This window comes from Homo sapiens, chromosome 15 (assembly GCF_000001405.40).
Source record: "Homo sapiens chromosome 15, GRCh38.p14 Primary Assembly".
Taxonomy (NCBI): domain Eukaryota; kingdom Metazoa; phylum Chordata; class Mammalia; order Primates; family Hominidae; genus Homo; species Homo sapiens.
The window spans coordinates 71,509,511-71,530,431 of NC_000015.10; the positions used below are offsets into that span (position 1 = coordinate 71,509,511).

The 20,921-nt window shown below is 41.5% G+C and overlaps 1 protein-coding gene and 1 long non-coding RNA gene across 8 annotated transcripts in view; one reads left to right on the forward strand and one right to left on the reverse strand.

The window, feature by feature from the left end:
* Window positions 1-15,088, reverse strand: part of LOC107984716 (uncharacterized) — a 46,156-nt gene extending 31,068 nt beyond the window's left edge. The window contains exons 1-2 of the long non-coding RNA XR_001751787.2: window positions 14,528-15,088; window positions 8,912-8,965 (exon numbers count right to left, since the gene is read on the reverse strand). This is a non-coding gene — a long non-coding RNA (uncharacterized LOC107984716). The remainder of the gene's footprint in view (window positions 1-8,911; window positions 8,966-14,527) is intronic.
* Window positions 1-20,921, forward strand: part of THSD4 (thrombospondin type 1 domain containing 4) — a 686,490-nt gene that overhangs the window by 412,617 nt on the left and 252,952 nt on the right. The window lies entirely within an intron of this gene.

A 20,921-nucleotide genomic window follows, 5' to 3' on the forward strand; every position in this document is an offset into this window, starting at 1 on the left:
TACATGTTAGTTATACAATGGTAGATGAGCAGCAAGGGCATTTCGACTTCAAGAAGCAAAGCATCTAACTTAATTTTACACAGCTAGTGGCAGAGCTAGAAATCAAACCTGGGTCTGTTGGACTCCAAATCCCACATATTTTATTGGCTGCTTTCACCATACTGTATCTTGCAGGCAGTAGGAACCATTTGATATGAAATTAATAAAGAACCTCAAATGGACTCTTCATTTTAAAAAGTGGTGGATCCTAGGTAGGTGTTAAGTCTGAAGCTACTTTCCCCAGGAAAGTTTGCCATCTGTTACCTATTTGGAGAATTTCTCTACCAAGCTACCCAACTGGTTTATTTAGATTGAATGATGAAAACATTTAAATCTGGTTGTTGTAGTGTTTCATTGGCTTTAAAAAGAATTTTTTTTCTCCAGCAGGCTCTAGTGCATAACTATTGTCGATATTTTTAAAAATGAAATGAATACAGTAGGAATCATTCTAATATCCATATTGGCAGAAGTTAGAAGCTTTTCATGCTGGAACGAAGAGGAGGTAATGAATAACCCTAGAGCTGTGTGTCGCTGCTCTACTGGGGCAAGATACATTTTATTAAAAACAGAACTTTGCCCATTGGTAGAAAGTTGTTGCATTGATAGAACACCCAATGCGCTTGCCACTAGCGCTCAGCACAGTGTCTAGTGTCTGGTAAACACTCAGTAATTGGTAGATTTTATTATGACTTGGTACTCGGTAAATGTTTTCCCAGTGAATGACAGCTGTTTGTTCATCCTTCACTTATTTTGTATTTATTGAGTGCCTACTGAAAGGACAAATCTATACTAGGCACTGAGGCTACAGCTGCAAACAAGGCAAAAGTGCCTGCCCTCATGGAGCTTATCTTTCAGAGGGGAGATTGATAATAAATGCACGGACATAGAATATCAGTGACCATAGCTGCTCTGAAGAAAAGTTGAATAGGAGAAACAGGCTGGAGAGAAAGATGGTGTGAGTGGGCTCTTCTAGATTCTGTGATCAGGGAGGTCCTTGCTTGGTTAGGACGTCTACAGAGTGACCTGAATACAGCATGGGAGCAAACAGCAGGGAGATGTGGCAATGCTGCTGCCTGGATTAGGGCAAAGCATGAGATGGACCTGAAGACAAACCAGGTTTTCTTCGTAGCCCAGCCTCATGTTCTGTTACGGACCACGGTCTCTCTACAGACCTTAACTCACCTGTAGTCTGGGGATAAACCTCATGCTTAACAACAGCAGGTAGAGTCTTTGGCATTGTGAAGGATAATTAAAAGTCTCATTATTTACCTCAGATTGCCATCAAAGAAGTAGAATCATTCTTTTTGCTTGAATGTGACAGTATTGCTATATGCTAGGCTCTTATATAAGAGGATGGGTGAGCTCACGTTTGGCGGTGTGGTCGAGTGATGTTTTGTGTGAGAGGATGGATGACCTCACGTTTGGCGGTGTGGTCGAGTGATGTTTTGTATGAGAGGATGGCTGAGCTTATGTTTGGTGATGTGATAAAGAGATGTTTTGCTGTAAGGGTCAAGGGGAGAAGTCTGAGTACAGAGCAAGATAAAGAAAATGTGGCTTCTGTCTTCAGCAGAGCCAATCAAATGGAAAGGGCACCAAATAATGGGAAACAGAGAGAACAAAGAGGAAGGGGGAAGAGAGTTGGACTGTTTGTGGCCTGTGTGTGGAACTGGTAACCAAGTTGGTCTTGAGGGACGTTTTAACAGACATTTGGTATTGGACTGAGGCAGAGTTTGGGGATGTCTCCACCAGCTTCTCTTTCTCAGATTTGGTTTAGGGGCCTGAAGAAGGAATAATAGATTCTCTCCCCTGCTACAGCTGAAGTGGGGAATAAAGGTGGGAGGATTCAGAGACTTTTCAAAGGCCAAGGTGTTCACTCTGAATTGAACACCACAGATTTTTGTTGTTGTTTTTCCTTCCTCCCAGGAAAAAGGAAAAAGATTTACTTTCACTACAAATATTTAAGGATCTGTTGAGTTCATTTTCACAAAAGAATTAAAACGTGGGAAAACCAAATTTCCCCCCTCCCACTGCTTTTGTTTTGGCTTTTGCTTAATTTTGTAACATTAATTCTTTGATCCTTCCAACCACAAATCATTTAAGTGACTTTGATTAAGTAATCACTTAACTTCCCAAATTCTTTGTATCATGATTGTATTTCTTGTCATATTTTATACAATTATAATGAGGTTTTACAAAGCAGGTTCAGATGCCAGCGCACCTGGGCTCCTCCTGGCGCACTGCGATTTAAAGCAAGTTATTTCACCTCTCAGGGCTTAGCTTTAGCATCGATAAGAAAAGCTTGGTATTTAATACACATCCCCCACAGAGACGGTGTCGGGAATTTTATTCAGTTAGTGTTTATAAAGGATCTTTATTGGCAACCCTAGGGAGGGTGATATACATGAATATTTTAATATGCAATGAACAATCTGCTGTTTGGGCCATCTAGGCAATGTTATGTAATGACCTATTATTTTGGCTTCATATCCCCTACAGAGACCTTTCTCTGGCTTCTCTGGAGACCGAGTTTTGTTGTTATCCCAGCAGCTAAGAAATCAGGGGGTAACCGCCCAGGCTGAACACATGGCAAATTCTATGCCTAATGTGTTCTTCTTTGGTGTGGAGGTTCCGATGATGTCTGCACAGGCCTGGGCAGCAACTTCCAATGTTTTGAGGGTTAATGCAAATCTGTGAAATACGAAACCTCCAGTGTAGCTCACAGGTTTTCTCAAAAATGCTAGCAAATTACCCTTAATTTTGCTCACTGTACAGCTTTATTAGGAGTACTGGTTGACTCCCACTGAGATTTATGCATTGCTGCATTGCAAAGGTTGAACCACTTCAGCCCGGCAGCGTTTTCCTGTGACCCCTGCGTTTACAATAACTATTAAAGACGACAGTAAAACATATATAATGGACATGGTTCAAATATTTCCCACTGCTTCTGAAATGATTATTTCTCCACAAGAGCAAAAGACCAGTGAAATCTGGGCTTAAGGCGAGGCAGCAACAAAAACCACGGGTTTTTAAGTTTAAGCTAATATTTAACATAGGATAAGGACTACTGGTAAATATTGATTTATCTTCTCTCCTATTCCCCTGGGGGCTTAATCTCGCCGCTCAGAACATTAAACAATTGTTTATTTTTCCACCAGTATTATAAAAACAATACTAGAATTCTTTTCCTTTTTTTTCTTTTTTTTAAGAAATAAAAAGTATCCAGTATCCCAGCAGGACAGAGCAACTGCGTAAGTGTTGAGTGAAACATCCATACGAGAGTAGGGCTTGTGGTAGCTCTGTTTTTTACAGGGACTTGCTTCTTTGCCTGGTCAGGACACAGATTTTTAGCTGCAATAATACTTGAAGGAGTTCTTTTAACTCTAGAAAATGAAAACATACATCTTGGTGCAGGAAGCTCAAAACCCAGTGTTTTACGAATAAGGAAATCAACAGAGATCAGAGCAAAGAAATTGATCCAAAATTTAAGCAAGGGCTCAGGAATGATAATCATGACACAGCTGATGAGTAGTGTTGAAGAAGATGCAGAATCAGAGGAATCTCATGGGAGACCAGACATCCACACACCACTTCTAGAGGCTTTCCAAGATGGCGTGAGCCGAGAGCTTCCTGTCATCTCTGTACTTAGGAAATGTGCCATCCTTGCATTGCCCTTAGCCTCAGTTTTACTGTTCCTTGTACATAGCGGGATTGTTACTTCCATCAAGCAAAGCAGTCCTTAAGTTTCATAGACTGTTACAGCATTGTCTAATTGGCTCCTCACCCTGTTTCAGATAGGTTAGGAAAGTATCTTTAAAACCACTTTATATGTCAAAGGACTTGTATTTAGAATATGGAAAGAACTCAATAAGACTAACAACTTAATAAAATGGGCAAAAGGCTTAAATTGACATTTAGCAAAAAAGATATATGAAGGGCCAATAATTACATGAAGGTGGTCAACATCATAAATCATCAGGAAAATGCAAACGAAAACCTCCTTGCAGAACCACTAATGCTACTTTATTCTCAATACCAAGGTGAGGATGAGAGACTGAAACACTCACACATTGCTGATGGGCGTGTAAAATGGTACAACCACTTTGGACAACTGACCCAGCAATGAAATTGCTGGGTATTTACTCAGGAGAAATCAAAATACAGACACAGAGGACTTGAACATGAATATTATTAGCAGCTCTATTCGTAGTAGCTCAAAACTGGAAACAACGCAAACATCTATCAATAGGTAAATAGATAAGTTGTGGCTTCTGCATGCAATAGATATACTCAGCAACAAAAAACAAACTATTGATTCAACACCATGGATGAGTCTCAGAAACATTATGTTGATCAAAAGAAGCCAAACACACAAGAATTGATCTGTAACATTCCATTTATATGCAGCTCTAGGAGAGGTGGAACTATGATGATGAAAGTCAGAAAGTAGTTGCCTCCATTTAGGGAAATTGACTTACTTGTTTACTTGCTTTATTTAGGGAAATTGACTTACTTGCTTAAGTAAATGGGTGAGCCAGTGCTTGAACTCAGGCCAACAGATCTCAGGGCTAGGGCCCCACTGGCTACATCACACTCTCTCAGCATAGAAGGAAGGTGAGGAAGAACGAGGCACAGCAGCTGGGGAGCAGAAGGAAGGCAGGTAAGGTATCAGGAGAAAGGAAAGGCAGAAGTCACTGAGGTCACATTTCTGTCCTGGGCATAAGGCTCATAATGGCACCTGTGATGGAAAGAGGCCCTTCCATCGTGGCCACCTGCAGAAGTAATTAGGAGGGCTTGACAGATGTGGGAGAGAGAAGCATCATCATCCAACTGGTGGAGCCTGCCAGTAGAGAAGGTATTAAAGTTATTCTCTTGTTGGTATCCAAATGGGATTTTTATCATCATAGTCCCACCTCTCCTAGAGCTGCATATAAATGGAATGTTACAAATCAATTCTTGTGTGTTTGGCCTCTTTTGATCAACATAATGTTTCTGAGATCCATCCATGGTATTGAATCAGTTTGTTTTTTGTTGCTGAGTAAACAATAAACTTGTTTTATTCGTAAGATCTTTTAAAAATTCTTCATGACATAATTAATACATATACACTGCAGAAAGAAAATATACATAAAAGAAGAAAAAATAAAACCTCCTATGGTCTTATTATCCCGTGATAATCTCTGATCTTTGTTTTTGTTTTTCAGTAAATAAAAACATTTTAAACAAAAATGGGATCATATACTATACGTGCTGTTTTATAATATGCCTTTTAAACAACATATCAGTGAACATTTCTCTCTATCAGAGGGTATAATTTCTATTGGATACATAACATCCTATGGGTGGATATATCCAAATTTTGTTTAACCAAACCTCTGCTACTACATATTTAAATTGTTTCCAGTTTTTAGTTACTACCTACTACCCCCTACAAGAGAACATCTTGAACATAACACATTTGCTCACTTTTTTTCAGTATTTCCTCAAGGAAAACTCTAGAAGTGGAAATTCTAGGTCAAATGGTTTGGACATCCTTAAGGAATTTAATACATATTGTCAATTATTGTTTTTGAAATGGTTTTAGCAATTTACATTCTCACCAGCAGTGAATGAATGTGTTATTCTGTGTCACCTTAACAGGTGGACTATAACTTTCGTCCCTGTGCTAAGTACTACCTCTTTTCATTGAAGCACCTGTCAGGATTAGAAATTAACCTTTGATGTTGTCTAGCTCCATCTCCCAAGCAATGGCTGAATTCCCTTTTGGATTCTGCTAGTTTGAAATGAAAACCATTTCTTTAAAAATGTTAATTTGAAAACATGATTGATGTTTGAGTGTAGTAGAAAAATTGGAGGAGCCAGAAACAGAAGTGATCCTGGGGTCAGAGTACCTGGGTTTCAGGGCTGGCCGCGTCCTTGTCTGTAGTTGTGTAATCACCAGCAAGTTGCTGACGTACCCTGCCTGGGTCTCTGTGTCCCCATGTCTAAGACAAGGGGATTGAGGGGGGCTCAATCTCTACATTGTCTTTAGTTATGACATTCAATAAATCTTCGGCTATTTAAAGCATTCCTTTCAAGGGCTGGGCTTGTAAATTAAGCGTGGCAGGCCTTTGAAATGCAGCTTGTGTGGGAAAGGAAACAAACCCAGCAGCTAGTTTGCTGCTGGATCAGAATTCGATGTTCTTTGTGAAGTAATAAATTGTGTCTTGGCTCCTGGATTGTTCCAGGTTGCCTCGGGTTTCACGGAAGTGGCTTTTTCAGGAATGGTTCCCATTGCCGGAAAGTGGGTGTTAATTTGTGCCTTGGCTATTTTTCAGGGCACATTCTGGCAAAATCCTGGCATCTTTTTCAGAGGATCAGCAGATGTAATGACCTGGGGGTTGCTCCCCTTGCAAGAGGACACATGCTCTATGTTAATACCCCAAATCAAGCCTATAGTCAGAGGCCTAGGTTTTATAATAGAGCACTTATCCTGGGCATGCCAAGGGTTTTTGACCAAGTGGAAACACTTTGGGACATGTACCACAGGAAACAGGACAGCGGAATGCTTAGTAATGGTTAGCATTTCTAAATAAAGTATCTGCTCTCCACTGAAATGGGGTACAGGTGGTGTCCTGGAAGAGGAGAGGAAGCTAATGGAAGTGAAGAAAGAATAAAATAGAATAACATCTGTGTTTGGTGCTCCACAGCTTGCAGCCTACATTAACATACTTTATTTACTCTACACAATGTCCCCAGGATATCATCATTGCCATTTTGTCCCAATTTACCACCGAGCAAATGCAAGGGTTGGAGTGTTGGTCGTGAGTGGCCCAATCACCTCTGCAACAACCTCACGGCTTGGCTTAAAATACCGTAAATCCCTGCTTCCTTGGCAGATCTTCATAGTCTCATACCTCCTTTCTCTTCTATGACAATTGAAAAATTACTTTTTTCTTACTCTTTGAGTCCATAGTCATAAATTCAAGTCATTTGCCAATCTTCAGTATAATGCAATTGGAAAACATTGTCTAGTCTAGTATTTCCCAGACTTTAATTTTTAAAATTATTTTCAACTTTTATTTTAGTTATTTGCACACTGTCTTCACAATTTATGCCACATCTGTGTGCCACCTGTACCATTATTTACATTATTTGTTTTCAGACAAATTACAATTTCACTTTTTTCTTGCTCTAAGAACTCTAGTAACTGAAATCATTAGTTTGATGTACCAGTTATAGTTTTCTAATGTATGCTATCACATAGCTGTTAAAATCTTGTGTTCATTTTTTGTAGTACATAATATATCTCACTTCTCCCTTTGATATACACACTATACTCTGAGGAATTAATTTAAATGAAATAAAATTTCAAAATTCAGTTTCTTGGTTGAGTTAGCTGCATTTTAAGTGTCCAGTTGACACATGTAGCTTAACGGCTGCCATATTGGGCAGGGCAGACTAGAACATTCTGTCATCCCAGGAAGTTCTATCAGACAGACTCTTCCTAAGGTTTGTCCAGGGCACTTAAAGCAGCAGACATTTCACTGCTTTCATTAGCCTAAGCTAGACTAACATACAAGATTATCAAAAGAAAGGTGAATTAATTTAAGAACTGCTACCAAAAATGTCAGATAATAGTTTCTTTCATTGACCACTGTCCAAGTAAGCAGCAAGACAAGTCAAAGCATCTGATTTGATAATGGATCACTTCAGTCTGCTCTAAACCAGCTCTCTCTCAGGGCTGTCTCTTCTTCCATCCCCGCCACTCCCATTCTCCCCTTCTCTCCTTCCCAGTCCATGTCTCTCTTCAGTGTGTGTCTGTGTTTTCGCTTTCATGCTTCTTCTTCCTCTTGCTTCACCTGTGTGTCCTAACCTCACTTTCATTCTAGCCCTCAGTCCTTTCTCTCCCTTTCTGCCTATTTTACCTTCCCAACCTTCTGAATCTCCCTCATTCAAAATTTAAGTATATTTGGATTTTGTTTTGTAAATTCTTCTTCAAGTACAATAATTTCAGGCCAAAGGACATTCTCATTTGTAATGTGAATAAGGGATACCTCCTAGCAGAATTCCACAAGATGTGATAAGTCTCACTGGCATCTCAGCTCTGTGTTAATGCACATAAAACGACTGTTTCCTGCTCAAACCTCTGCCTGTCTCTCACTGATGTAAAACCATAACAAACTAATTGCTTTACTCTACTCCTCATCCAAAGTCTCCTTTAAAGAACAAGAGAATTTTTGACCATGCTTCTCTTCAGGCCCATGGAAAAAGGTCCAAACCTTGCTCTGTGGCATTGGTTACACTTCTTGAGCAGACTAAAAGCCAGGCATTGCCTTGAAGGCCTGATGCCACTTCTATTTAATCAGAACTCCTTCCAGAGCCATAAGGTTACTGGAGGTCCCCCAGAGGGAGGAAAGTGCTGTGTAGACATATTTATGCTTCATCTGTTGGCCATGAATGTCAAGGAGGAGAACTGACTAGACTGCCTTCTCTTTGTTTTAATTATCCAGAGATTCCAAAAGGAAAGGAAAGGCCAAGTGGACCCAAGAGCCCTCAGAAGTGCAAGATGCTCTGGGGAACATATGTGCATTGCTCAATTCCATGAAATAGACCCTTCCTTAGGAGTACAAAATTGAAAGTTTCCCTTACTTCTTGCGGGGAAACCTGTTTACCTCCCCCCACCTCCCCACCCCTTCCAAATGTACTCAGTTAGGCTGTGGAAAATTTAATTCCTCTTGCTAATTTATATAAGAAGTTATGATACCTTGGAAATTTTTATCTGTCAGCTTTAAAACGTTAAATATGGGATCCACTATTCTCAGGAAAATGATGTGATGATCTGCTGTCTTTCTCAGACAAAGGGAGGCATTTTTCCAAGAGTGGAAGTCCCTACCTGCGTGGGAATGATAGAGACATCCTCTGACTGGGTTTTGTACTGCTCCAGACTCTGAAAAAGAGAAAGAGATCCAAGTTTAAGTGACTTTAATCTTAGTAAAGTTTTAAGGTTTATGTTATCCTCTGGATAATAATAACTATAATGATGTTTTGAGTGCTTGGAATTTGTGGAGCAGTGTGTTAGGTGCTGCTGCTGTAAACACAATCTCATTAATCCTCATGACAACCCTGATGAGGTGACTCTCCCCCACCACCATATTCTAATTGGAGGAATTTGAGTCTCAGAGAGGCGAATAATTTCTCAAAGGCAACACAGTCAATAAATTGTCAGAGCTCGGATTCAAACCCAGGACAGAGCTTTGTGGTCTTTAGATCCATTGTTCTGTGTTGGTTTATTCAGCAAATGTTTATTGGTGGTTACTGTGGCCAGGCACTGTTGCTCAGGGATTCCACAATGAACAATAAAGGCAACACTCCTGATCTTATGGAGCATATGCCCTGGAGAGGAAAGACAGAAGAACAGGAAGTTAAAAAATAATATAACATTTTTAAACAATTAATAATCTGGCATGATAATTTCAGATGTTGGCAATGCCATAAGAACAATAGATGGAGTAAAGCAATAGTGAATATGGGGCTGCTTTATGTTGGGAGCTCTCAGAAGGATTTTCTGGGATGACTTTTGAACTCAGACCTGAGTGATATGAAGGATCCAGAATCCAGTGTTGGGGGCAGAGGAAACAGCAAGCGCAAAGGCCCTGGGGTGATTGAGTGCCATGTCTTTCAGGAGCAGCAAGAAGGCCAGTTTTGCTGTGTAGCCGGTGGGGGTGAGTGACAATATAAGGTCAGAGATATAGACAGGCTTTGGATTTTGCTCCAAGTGTAATGGGACACCACAGGGTTCTAAGCAGAAACGGTATATGATCTGAATTGTTTTTTTCTTTTTCTTTTTTTGAGACGGAGTCTCTCACTCTGTCACCCAAGCTGGAGTGCAGTGGTGTGATCTCGGCTCACTGCAGCCTCTGCCTCCCGAGTTCAAGCAATTCTCCTGCCTCAGCCTCCCAAGTAGCTGGGATTACAGGTGCCCACCACCACACCTAGCTAATTTTTGTATTTTTAATAGAGACAGTGTTTCACCGTGTTGGCCAGGTTGGTCTCAAACTCCTGACCTCAAGTGATCCAACCGCCTTGGCCTCCCAAAGTGCTGGGATGACAGGCATGAACCACTGTGCCTAGCCTGAATTAAGTGTTGAAAGATAACTCTGGTTTCTATGTATGGAACAGAGTGTACAGTAGCAAGACAGGAAGTGGGAAAAATGGTTAGAAGAACATGAACATCAGAAGGGCTGGAGGTTTTTGAAGGAGGAGGATAGTGCTTTGGAAACAGCAAAGGGGGAGAGTGGGCAAGAAATGACTGTTTATCCTACCTCCAGGCCCTGGGTGTGAGGAGTGATCCTCAGGGGCCAGCCAGGTCCAGGGAGTAGGCAAAAAGGAAGGGAGCCTTCAGAAAAGAAGATGTAGCTCTAGGGGAGTTTGCTGCAGCGGCAGTGGTGGCAAATCACAGGATAGCTAGTTTTTATTGAACATGTACTGTCTGTCTAGCAGGATTCTAAGTGCTTTTCCTGCAATAACTTGTTTAGTCCTCTTGGTAATCCTAAACTGTAGATACTATTATTAGCCCCATATCACATAGGAAACTGACAGGGAGTTAAGAAACTTGTAGCAAGTAAGCAATATGGCTGGGATGGCATTACTAATTTCAGAAGTCAGAGTGGAAAGTTGGAGGGGTTGTCAGAGAGGGTTGGAGCGTGCTCTCACTAAGGGAGGGGTCGACTGGTCTAGAGATGAGACCCAGATGGCAAACGTGACCTGGGAGGTTTTGATGGAGGTAAAGCTTGCTCCATGATGCCATTTGCCCTGAATGACACTAGAGGAAGTTTCCCCATCAGTTCAGACTGGAAGCATGGAGCCTAGGAGTGACTGCTCTTTCTTGAAGCTTCCCGTGGGGTGGGGCCCAGGGCCTCCTCACTGGGATTGCTTTCTTAGGCAGCTTGTGGGGCAAGAAGAGTTTCGTCTAAACAAGGCAGTGTCTTGACCCCTTTTATCCCACTGCCTTTGAGTTGGGAGAATGTTCATATTTACACATTTCTGGGATGTTTTACTGCAGTTCTCGTTTGGAGATAATAATAGATAACATTCATCATTCATTAAGCACTTACAATGTGTCAGGTTCTATGCTGAGCACTTGACATATAGTATTCCTTCAATAAACACAGTAGTCTTATGACATGGCTACTATTCTTGCTCCCCTTTTTCTGATGGACTAACTGAGCTCTAGACAGGTTACGTCATTTGCCCAAAGTGCTATATAGTGAGTGGTGGACCTGAGATTTAAACCTTACAACCTGACACCAGAGGTTATAGCCTCACTCTGCTGCAAGTGAAGAAGATATGTTTGCTAGGTTTGGGGCAATGCTGCCCAGGAAGTCTTTGTAAATCCCAAAAGAATGAGTGATTGTAGCAACACAAAGTTTGAAGGGAAACCTTGAGAGTGAGTGGCTAGCATCTTCCTTCCGTGACCATACTGATGTTGAAATGTTGGTAGATCAACTACCAGCATCAGAGACGAACCTGAAGGTAATGGACTCAGGAGGGGAAGACAAGGGTGAGAAAGGGGAAATTGTTGTAAATAGAGAAAAGGAAATTATTGGTTTACTTAACTTGTCTTCCACTACGTGATCTAAAAGTAACAGTACTCAGATAATACTTTCTCTCTCTTTTAATTCCAGTAAATGAACACCTAAAAAACTGCTTACTTCCCCACTCTCCCTGCAAACAAGAAAAATGGTGGGATTATGGATACTTTTCTATTAAGATGTTTTAGTTTTCTATTATTTTAAAAGAAAAATATGTGGGGTATTTTTAAAAGAAATTGTTTAAATAAATGAAATAAGATTCTTTAGGCATCATATTTAATTGAATTCATTTCATCCCTTTAAAAAATATATTTTCTTTGACATTCATCTATTCCTATCCAAAAACATGGGTGGATGATCGGATCTCAGTTTTCTTAGGCTCCGTGATCCTGGCAGAGTTACTTTTTAATCACTTGTCTATGTTTCTCCAACTTGAAAATACCTAGACTTCCAAGGCAACTGAACTGCTGTGGAAGAGCCATGAACTTCTCTGCCAAATGGCCGTGAGTAAGAAGATGGCCTCTTGGATTGCTCTCAGTCCCTCATTTGTGTTCTAAAAGAATTCATTAACCTGTAGATCAGTTTGGGGTTTTTTTTGACTCACCTGGTGGATCAGATTTTGCTGTCCCTAAATGTTCCTCTGAGCTCCTTGGAGAAAAAAGTTACGAGTAATAGACATGTGTTTATCATTTTACAAATGCATATTGAGTGCCTACTGCGTTTCAGACTCCAGATGCCAAAATGAGTAAGCTGGGATCCTTCTTCCTAAGGGCTGGTTGTTTGAAGAAATTATTAGAAAAATTGGTGGTGAGGGGCAAATACAGCCACCTGTGTGGTGAGCCAGTCTGTGTCCCTTTGTGTAAAAAATTCCTTGAAAGTTAGAGCCCTAATGTCTTGAATGTACTAATATAAAATATTCATCATCAGTTCACTGTTACAATTTTTCACCCTTTTACACCTGATGTGAACTTTGGGCTTTGCACCTCATGAAGGCACATACCTACTCTTTAAGATGGAGTGATGTTACCCAGAGGGACCACCTACCTGGAAAATGGCAAAGCCTGGCCTTGAACTTCTAATTCCTACTTCAGGGCACTTTCTTCTGTCTAAAATAAAACCCTGCTCATTATCTGTGTACTTTATTTACCTTTCCAAATGTTACTATTATTATTAATATTATTATTATAACCAAGTTATTTAGATTAGCCAACATATTTTACTGAGGTGACATGGTAGAAGCAAACTCAAAACTGTCCTTTGGGCTGCCTCCCCAGTCCAGGGCATGCACAGTTGTGGACAGATCATAGAAGACAGCTTCTCTCTGAAGGTATGGGGTTAGGAGTGGGGATGAGGGAGGTCCAGGACAATAAGAGAAACATGCAACTGCTGATTGAGTGTTTGGAAAAATGAAAAGTATTGCTCACTGATTGAAAGAGATGTAGTCAGAATTTCATGCTTAAGTGCGACCAATTCTGGATGTCATGGTTGTCACCTAATATGTGCCCAATAAACACATGTTGACTGAATGAATAAATGTGGGGTGAAGAAATACAAAGCAAGGAGAGCAAGCCAACCCAGAATCTTCCTTGACTTTCTGTGTGCCTCCTGGAATAGATGATTTAACACCTCTGTGTCTCTAGGTAGAACTGAAAGGTGTCAGTGGCAGAGTTTATGGATATCTACCTTGAGATGCTATTTAGAGGAGTAGGTTTTGTATACCTGGAAGGTGAAAAGGAAGATCTAGTAAGTTCAAAAGAGGGAGACTTTGGAGCCAACAACTTAATGGGACTTCAGTCTGAACCACGGCAAAGGGGCAGCCAAGCCTGTCTGGATGCCTCCCTTGCACAACATCAACACACATGTGCCCACCACAGTGAGGGTCCTGCTTGGTTATCTGGCATGTTATGGGAACAGAGGAGTCAACACTTTGGAGTAAGTCAGTGTTAGCTCGTGTTGCTTCATTTTTAGAGATGAGTAAAAAGATGTGATAACTGCAGTAGCTTCCTATAACTGCTGTAACCAATTACTACAAACTCAGTGGCTTGAAACAACAGAAATCAATTCTCTCATAGTGCTGGAAACCTGAAATCAAGAATCAAGGCCAGCAGGGCTGTGCTGCCTCCTGAGGCTCCAAGGGAGACTCAATCCTGGCCTCTTCCAGCTTCTGTGGACTCCAGGCATTCCTTGCCCACTGGCTGCATCCCTCCAATCTCTGGCTCCATCACCACACGGCCTTCTTTTCTCTCTGTGTTTCTCTTCTGTGTGTCTCTCCATAAGGACACATGCCATTGGATTTAGGGCCCACCTGGACAATCCAGGATGACCTCATTATGAGATCCTTAGTCACATCTGCAAAGACCCTTTTTCCAAATAAGGCCAGATTCCAGGGATTGGGACATGAGTATATCTTTTGGGAGACCACGCTTCAACCTACTGCAATGATGCTGATGTATTAGGAAGATGGTTTGACAGGGGGAGTGTGATAGCAAGGGTAGGGTGCAGACACTGGGCTCACTGGCTGCTGTGGCCTTAGTCCAGGACTGGGGAAATAAGGAACGACCACAGCAGGAGCCATGGGAATAAAGAGGAGGAAATGGAAGCAGGAGATATTTCATGGAAGAATTTGCCAGAACTTGGTGATAAATTTTGGTGTGGTCAGTAAGAGAAAGAGAAAATCCTAATTTGACACCAAGGCATATTTCCCCAAAATATGTGCTACAGAATGCTGGATCTTGGGATATCAGTAGCTATTGTGTGAGGGGAAAATGGTTCTATACATAAAGACATTTGGGGGACACTGGATTAAACAGCATTGAACAGGTGTCTATCCTGCAGGATTTCTGTAAGCCTTTAACATCCCCACGTATATCATAAGTGTCTAAAGAAGGTTTCTAGAGGACAGTCTTTCCCATACTTACTTGACCATAGGCCTGCTTTATCTAGATTATCTTGAAGAACAAGTGGTCCACACACCTCTGAAAAATACTGCTCGATGGCATCCACCCTCTGAGAAAAGATAATATAAGTGACGTTCAGAAAGATGGAATGAAGAAAACTGGAATCGGACAGTCTGATGAGGGCCAGGCTTGTTTCCAAGACCCCTGCCAGCCTTAAAGATAGCCACAGGGACTGACACCAGTAACTGGCAGCTGGCAGAAGCCATTTGCAGGTTTGCACAGTGACGCTCTGACTTTAATAGTCCGTGCAACTGTCCTGTGGTTTGGTTTCTTATTTCTCTGGTACCTTCTTGACAGTAGAAGCTGTTGCTTTAGAGCAGTTGCAGCAAGTATGTTTCACCCAGTGTGCCAACTCTGCTGCATTGGATGGCTGACTCTCATGCTGCCTTGAGAAGGATGCTAAGCTGCAGGAGGCTGCGCAGGAAAGAGTGCTGTAAATGACTTGTAATGTCTGCCATGAGCACAGGAGGAAGATGGAGATGAGCTAAGAGCCCTTCTTGGTTTATGCCTCTTTTTTTTTTTTTTTTTTTTTTTTTTTTGAGACGAGTCTCTATCTGTCACCCAGGCTGGAGTGCAGTGGTGCAGTCTCAGCTCACTGCAAACTCCGCCTCCTGGGTTCATGCCATTCTCCTACCTCAGCCTCCCAGGTAGCTGGGACTACAGGTGCCCACCACCACGCCCGGCTAATTTTTTTTTTTTTTTTTTTTTGTATTTTTTAGTAGAGACGGGGTTTCACCGTATTAGCCAGGATGATCTCGATCTCCTGACCTTGTGATCCGCCTGCCTCGGCCTCCCAAAGTGCTGGGATTACAAGCGTGAGCCACCATGCCCGGCCTCTTGCTTTATACTTCAAAGAACTTCCTTGCCCATGCTCCCTCCCTCCCTTGTCCATGCCTCAAAAGGGGCCAACCAAGATCAGCAGTTATGCATCTTGGATGCAGTCTTCCTGGACTCTTCAATCTTGAGCTCTCACCTAGAAGGAAAATGGTGGTATCAATGAGAGAAATGTAGCCATCAATTTCACAATGAATAATAAAAATAGCTAATATTTACTGAGCACTTATTATGCATCAGGCTCCCTGCTAAGTGTTCTACATGTAATGTCTCATTTAATTCTCATGGCAGCCTCAAGGGATAGGTACCATCAATCATCTAATTGTACAGATGAGGAACATGAGGCACATAGAGATTAAATTACTAGCCCAGGAACACACAGCTAATATGTGCTACAACCAGGATTTAACTTTAAGCATCCTAATGTTAAAACCGACACTCATAACCACTGAACTGCAGATTTAATTATAGACATGTTGGATTTGAAACATTGGTAAGACTTGCAAGTGGAAATATGCAGGAGGCAGAGGAAGATACAGAACTGGACAAGGTCAGGCATGGGCACAGAGCCAGGGAGTGGGGGTGGTTGAAAGGTGCCCACAGATGCGTTTATTCAAACTATGAGTTGAGAGTCAGTTATACAGATGTACAATGTACAGAGAAATCTGCGCAAATGTTTTATGTATTAGGGAGATGTTTTCCCAAGTAATGAGTTAGAAATAACTGACTTTTGTTATGGTCCATGGACAGAACATTCCAACTGTGAGGAAACAGGACGCAGATGAAGAAGTCTGTGTCCTAAATCATGCTGAAAAGTCAGAATCTGTTGGGATTTTTGGAGATACATTCTTTGCATCTCATCTCATCTCAATGGTCTCACAAGTGCAATAGAAAATCATGGTCCTTGGTGAGAGCTGGTGAGAGCTTTGCCTTAGCATCCCCAGCTACAGACTCACCACCTTTCCCATTCCCTGTAGAACCTGAACCCCTCAAGGACAGGGAATGGGTCTCATTCATCCAGGAGCTTCTAACACCCGACACACGCAGACACTCAGTAAACAGTAAGTGAATTAGTAGAACCAAGGAAATAAGAACCGACCCTATTCGGTTACATCTGCTCCTGGATATATTATCAAATTTAGAGTGTTTTCACTGACCCATCACTATTTCATTGTAAATGGCTGAATTTTCCCCCTGTAGGCTGGGGACAATGCCACAATAAATTACTGCCTACTTGAACCGAGTTTCATTTTGTTCTGATTGATTGCCGGTTTCAAGGACCGTCTAAAATCTCAGTTTATGGACTTTACTTCCTGGTGGTTCCCAGAGAGAAATGAGCCTGGATTCCAGAGAATGCAAATTTCTTCAAACTTGCAGCCGGCTTCCAGACTCCCTGCAAAGGTCTCTTAAGCCTCTAAATATTTCCTCTCTTAAATCACACATCACTGGCACAGGCAGAATATTTTCCAGTTACTTCTTTCTTGTTAGGAGAGAGTCGCTTAGAGGTCTACCAAGTAGACAGAAATGCAGTCGTTTTGGCAGTTTTATTGTGCTGTCTTTAGGTTTCGTTTAGTGATTCTTTTTTTAAGTTGTGTTTGGTTTTTTATTCCTGAAAGAAACTATTTCAGGAATAGTTGCACTGGAATATTCCAGGAATAGTCGCTGCATTAGAAACACGATGTTGACTCTCTCTTGGCATGTTTATGGGTGGGATGAACTGCATATGTGAAATGAAGCTTAATCTCTCACTTGTGCAAATGTCGAGACTTTGATTTGACACTTTTCCAATTAGGTGATGTGAATCCCTAGGGCTAGTGTGGTAGCTTATTGTGTAGCAATGGCACACAGGTATTCTGCCAAATTTTGATGTGTATCTAAAATTTGTATTTGATTCAACCTAGAATAGATTCTCTTATAGTGTCTGTTGGACAGTATGCTGAACTGAGCAAGTTATGGAGTGTGGCACAGAATGAGGCACAATTTATGGTGCCATAGCTAAGAGGCACAGTGTCATGTCAAGTTAGTATGTATGAAAAATGACCATTGCCTTGGTCTGAATCTTCCCCAAAATTCATGTTGAAACTTAATCACCATTGCAGTCGTATTAAGACGTGGGTCCTTTAGGAGGTGATTAGGTCATGAAGACTCCTCCCTCATAAATGGGATTAATGCCTTATAAAATAGCCTTCACCCGGGGTTCAGCCTTTTTTGCCCTTCTGCCTTTCACCATGTAAGGACACAGCAACAAGGCGCCACCTTGAAAGTAGAGACGGGGCCCTCACCAGACACCAAAGCTGCTGGAGCCTTGATCTTGAACTTCCAGCCTCCAGAACTGGGAGAAATAAATTTCTATTATTTATAGATTACTCGTTCTCAAGTATTTTGATGTAACAGAAAACTGACTAAGACAGCCATTTATTGAAACACACAAACTCTTCTCTGATGAATACAAAAAGGCTTGTGGTCAGGGCAATAAATAATTCTCAAATGGAGGGCAACAAAAGTGAAAAATGTGACAACAGAAGGAAGTTTTTATAACTTCCCAACACTTTCTTTTTCATAATGTATTCCCCATTAATGCCCTTCAAATGTATAGCCAAAAATTTGAGTGTTTGAAAGTGCAAAAAGGTTGCAAACCACTGATCCATTCCCGACATCATCAGTTAGGTTCTGACACACATACACACACACAGCACTTTAGTTAATGTTTTTTCTTTTGGATTTTCTTTAAATTTTGCTGCTTTTCTTCATTGATGTTACTCAGATTTTGTTGATTTTTTTTCCCCATGTTTATCCTCTTTTTTTTTTTTTTTTTTTTTTGAGACAGGGTCTCACTTTGTTGCCCAGGCTGGAGTGCAGTGGCACAATCATGGCTCACTGCAGCTTTAGCCTCCCAGGTTCAAGTGATCCTCCCACCTTAGCCTCCTGAGTAGGTAGGACTAAAGGTGCACACCACCACACTCAGCTAATCTTTGTATTTTTTGTAGAGACAGTGTCTTGCCATGTTGCCCAGGCTGGTGGTCTCAAACTCCTGGGCTCAAGCAATCTTCCTGTCTCAGCCTTCCAAGATGCTGGGATTACAGTTGTGAGCCACCGCACCAATCAATTTAAACTCTTCATGTCTTGCCTGATATATCCTAGGTATAAGCCTAAGAAAATTGCCTTAAGTAAGACTGAACAGTGCCTTGGACTCTCTTGCTCTCAGACAAATACCCAACTTTCCAGAGTGTTTATTATTGAAAACCACAAAAGTTGAAAATGGGAGACAGCTAACTTGGAAACTCTCCCTCATCCCTCCATCTCTGCCATTGTCAGAGTCAGTGATAAGAATGAGAGGTAAATGCTCTTGCCCATGTATCGTACTTTTGCAGTGGATGGGGTCCTTGACTCTCTGAGAGTCATGGCCCTTAAGAACATCTGGAGCAGCCACTGAGGACTTTGTCAGCAACTTCTCATTCCAGGCAACAACCCACAGTGGCAGCCAGCAGCCCTCAGCTCCGTGGGAAGCAGTATGGGGGAAGTACGTGGACTTGGATAGCACTCAAACCAAAGTGTAACTCATTACTACTGCAACCTTTAGTAGAGTTGTCCACTTCTGTGAGCTTGGTCTCCTCATCTGGAAAATGGAAATAAAATTTCTCCCCCGTGGTTATTAAAATTAAATAAGATGTCTGTCAGGCATCCTTATAGAGGAGGCACTGTATAAAGGTTCTTTTCCTTGCCTCCCTGCATCCCATAATGTAAACACAACCTCCCTCACTGGCTACCTTTTGTTACTGACACTGGAATATCTGAAAATCAACTGATAGAGATGATGAGACATGCTTCTTTCACAGATTCATCAGATTTCCTGACTGGCCTTAGATGAAGCAGGAGCAGAGGGGGAAATCTTGATCTGTGGCAGGTGTTTAGGTTTCATGGATGGTAAAGAGTAAGTCTGAGCTATCCATGATCAATTTATTACTAATACACATCACACTTTCATATAACTTAGATAACAGCTATGAACTCACTTCTTTGGAAGATCCTGACTGCTATGGCAAAGACTCTTTCGTTGTCTGCCAAACCTGAGTCTCTTTCCTCCTGGGTCCATAGCTAGGCCGTATTTCCCAGCCTTCTTGAAGTTGGATGTAGCCAATGGAAGATGGGCCAGTCCTGGTGATTCTCCACTTTTTCCCCTCTCCATCTGCCAGGTGGATATCAGTGTCCAGTGCAACCTTGGAAACCATGTATTGAGGGGCATAGAGCCTCTGGCAGCCTGGGTCCTTAAGTGGTTGTGTGGAGCTTTACCCTCCCTGCCCACCATCTGAGTTTTACCCTAGCAAGAAATAAGCTCTTCATGTTAAGCCATGGAGGAGTTGTCAAGGTTCATCTGTTATAGCAGCTAGCTTTGCCTTAACGAATAAACTTGATGAAACAGGAGGTGAGTTTTTTAAACTTTCCCCTTTTATGATAGCACTGACATTCTTCTGAACATTTTCTATGTTGTTACTGTGGGAAAACAAATGTCATAATTACTTATCTATTCAAAATATGCTGTGTATATTGATCATAAGAAAGATGGAATGAGGTTCTCTGTCAGCAGGAAGTCTATTTGACTTTTTACCTAACAGTCTCAATTGAAAGCTGGGGTTAGTGATTAACTACACTTATTGTGTTTTCAATCAGATTAAACACTCATGGTGCCAGGTGCTAGGTTGAGAAGGGGAAGCTTAGTAAAGACAGAAGAAATAAAAGTAATTTTTTTTCTAAATAGTCAGAAATCCAGAAATTAGACAATCATCAAAGATTTGTCTAACGTATCCTATATACTTTTATGTTTTCTTGAACAAAATGTACTGAAAATAGTTTTACCTTTTCCAGCCTTCAGCTTCATCAACTGTAAAATGAAGGATACTTAATCTACAGGATTTGAGAATTAAATGGGGATCATAGCTACCTCCCAGCCTAATGCCTGACGTAATAAATATTAAAACCCTACCCTTTCTTAATGACCTGGTTTGTTGGGATATGCTCGGGAGTTATGCTTATGAACATGAATTATCACATTGGAGACTTGTAAATTATCTGTGGCTGCTTATCCCAACATGGAATGGTGCTAGGTGGCAGTGCTTCTGTTATGGTAACTACTTCTACAATTTTTATTGATTTCTTCTTGCCACTTTTTGCTTGTAGTTGCAGCCTTCAAAACTATCTTCTTCTAATCCTTTTTATTGGGGGAAGAAAATGAAACACCCCTGTTAGAAATTATTATTGGAAAATGAACGAGTTCTGTATGCAAGCTGGAAGACACTCCAGCCAAGAAGACTACCAGCCGAATGGCAGTTACAGCAGCTCAGGGGCCAGCACACTCAGTGCCAAGATTGGGGCTGGTTCCAGCAAGTTGAGGTTAGCAGCAGTCAGAACTCCCCAGTTCAGTATGGTGCTGCCACACTTCTTGCCAGCTCAGCTCCTGTGGCTGGGAGAAAGCGGGGAGGAAGGAGGTAAAGATCAGAGATTGAAGCAGGACAGGATATCCAGG